The sequence below is a fragment of the Homo sapiens genome, chromosome 4, assembly GCF_000001405.40.
Source record: "Homo sapiens chromosome 4, GRCh38.p14 Primary Assembly".
In the NCBI taxonomy this organism is placed as follows: domain Eukaryota; kingdom Metazoa; phylum Chordata; class Mammalia; order Primates; family Hominidae; genus Homo; species Homo sapiens.
In genome coordinates this window covers 72,662,712-72,665,622 of record NC_000004.12, presented here as the reverse complement: position 1 = coordinate 72,665,622, position 2,911 = coordinate 72,662,712, and the positions used below count along the sequence as shown (strand labels likewise).

Below are 2,911 nucleotides of genomic sequence, written 5' to 3'. Positions count from 1 at the left end.
GGCTTATGGCAACCTGGCATATATTTGCAATTCAAAAGGTTAATAGCAAGCATGTGGGTGCCATTTGTTCTGAAAATCAAGGGGCTCAGTTATTAAATACACCATAATACATACTTAACCAATTAGGGCATTACTAGAAAACCTGACTTCCGGAAGGAGGCTACTTCACAGATTTTACAGCCAAGTATGGGGTGAGGGGATTACCAAATGCTGAAGTGTCAGTTCCAAAGTTTAACTCCTAATTTGCCAGGCTGGGAACAGCTTTATCAAGTTTTTCTCTCCTTCATTTCTCTGTTGATTTAACAGCAGAAAGGGTTTCCATATGGCCCAAATCCAGTCACTGCAGAGAGCTGGAGAGCTACAAAAACTGGCATTTACAACTATTTTCACATTATCTTTTTTTCCTCAAAAATTACCAGATTTTGGCTTCATTTTTGGAACCACATTATACCTGGCATAGTAATGATCCTTATAATCCTCCTCTTTTTGTATGTCTACAAAAGGGGAAGTACTTTCTTTGAAACATTCTCTGGCATCTTGCAGATACTTATAACAATTACTATAAAATTTTTTCTTCTGAAAAAATTCTAAAAAGCTGAAAATACAAACAGATGCTAGGGGTGTATGTCACACTCTGCCAGTACTATAGGACGCTGCTGTGGTGGAGTGAATATTGGTTAGAGGTGAGAAATTTAGGAGTTGCAATAGTTATCTAAGACTTAAGGCTATGTGGGCAAATAGCTTCACCAAGTGGCAATAAAATTCCAAATGTTTTAGGGCTACCGATATATAAAAGGATATCATGCTGATGGGTGTGCAAGGGCATACCTGTTACTAAATTGCTAAGATAAAAAGAGTAGTTCCTAACTAAAAGGAGGGATGTAGTCACTTGGTGTAAGGAAGGCAGGCATGATAGGACTTCTCCAATTCCGTTCTCTGGACTGGAGGGAAGGACTAATTTCTGAAGTATCACTTACAAGGTATTTTCTACTTTTTGACCCTGAGCACATGTCAATAATATTAATAATAAATAATATTATTTACCACATTACGTTATAATGGCCTGTAGTCTGCCTAAGGCTCAGGAATATGGAATCTGGAAGCAGACTGCTACTTGTGATGGTTTTCTAGCTCTGGCACCTATAATTGTTCTGTGCGTCAGTTTTCTTAACTGAAATGGGGGAGTAATCGTGTATTTACCTTGCAGGTCGAGGTAAGGATTAAACAAATTATATGTAAGTGCATGGAACAGGCCTGATCTAGACAACGTACTCAGTGCACATCAGTTATCATCTTCATGTGCCTGTTTCTTTCACTAGGACTAGTTTGTTAGGTCCTTCCAGGCAGTTGCCATGCAGTATTTTCCTTTGTGTTCTCAGTAAATTATCTGGGCATTAAAGAGTTTTGTTTTTAATTGAAGAGACCATCTTGTATTGTGGGTTTTCTTTCTGCTTTTGGCATTTGGTGGAGAAGGGGTGCTGTGGTGGGGATCAGTAGGGGAGGAGTGGATCAGAGTGCTATGGCAGAAACAGGCTGACAGCTTGATGCCCACACTGAAAAGTTTTCTGTTTTCTGTCTTCCTCCTCCGCATGCCTGCTGTGCAGCTCAGAAAGAATAAAAGAAGAAAAGGAGAAAGACAGTGGCCTCTGGGTTGAGACTGAATGTGTGGGAACGTGGGCGGTAATGTGAGGAAGAGAATGGGGAGATTTGTTTGCTAAAAATCTATAAAATGAAATTTTAGAAACATTGCGCCTATTGATTTCTAATTTCACCCTAGGGACCAATAATCTTGATGAGATTTCCCAGTAAGTTTGGGGTTAATGAAACCTCGTGGAAATCAGACAAATAAAATCAGAAAGTTACAATTAAATTCCAGGCCTCAGGAACATCTGTTTTAACATTCCTTGTGCTTGAATAGTGTTTACTTTATTTATACTTCTATTATGTCACTGATTATTTTGTACTTGTCTATTGTAATATCTGTCATAACAGATATTATGAGATCATGATTTATTTACCTTTTCACTCCCTGTATCTAGCATGATATCTTTCAAATTGTAGGTAAACAATAAATGTTTGAAGAAGAAAAATAAGAGAAAGAATAGAGAAAGGAAAGAAAAAGAAAGAAGACAGAAAGTCAGGAAAGTAAAAAGGCAGGCAGGAAAGAAGAGAGGGAAGGAAGTAGGGAGGGAGGCAGGGAGGCAGAAAATCCAGGCTCGTGCTTGTTTTTATAGTTGTTGTAAATGATTGCAGAAAAATTCTCTTCAAGAGGCCTAGGAAAGAGTATCGTATACTCTTTCCCAATAATATATTCCAGAGAATAATAGCATTATTTGAATGGACATGTTAGGAAGACCATAGATCTTTATATAATCTAATCTTTACTATGGAAGACCAAGTTTTAGGAATATAAGAAATGAGTTAAAAAGAAGTTTATCTGATTAAATTTGACAGCAAAAATACATTTACAAAGCCATACTCAGTAGTTGGGTAAATAAGAAAAGATAATGTTTTCCAACAAAAATTTTGAATAATGTAATGAAAATGCCATTCCATTATTCATCGAGTCCTTCTAAAGCACAAATATGAACTTTTCACCTACTTTTAATTCCCTCATACATTGTATAAACTAAATCATTACACTTTTGTTAAACCAGAACACCTTTCAAACTTTTTTTACCCTCTTGAGGTTGATGAATTGTTTATTGTTAAGCAATTTGGTTGCCAGAAGGAGACATTCTAATGAGACTTTGGAAACTAAATATGAAAAGTCTCATGAATTTGAAAAAAATACTGCACTTGTTGAGGAGTGCTTTGCTCAGATTCAAAGACTGGTTCAGCAGTGTGCCATTTTTTCACATATATTGCTAAGTATCTTAATAACTTCAACTTATAAGGCAGAGCCAGCCAG

The 2,911-nt window shown here is 36.8% G+C and overlaps 1 annotated feature.

The window, feature by feature from the left end:
• Positions 1,317-1,855: an enhancer, noted in NCBI's record as "NANOG hESC enhancer chr4:73529485-73530023 (GRCh37/hg19 assembly coordinates)". NCBI's record gives its function as "activates a minimal SCP1, AML or CMV promoter by ChIP-STARR-seq in naive H9 embryonic stem cells {active_cell/tissue: H9 hESC(naive)}" and the evidence as "EXISTENCE:reporter gene assay evidence [ECO:0000049][PMID:30033119]".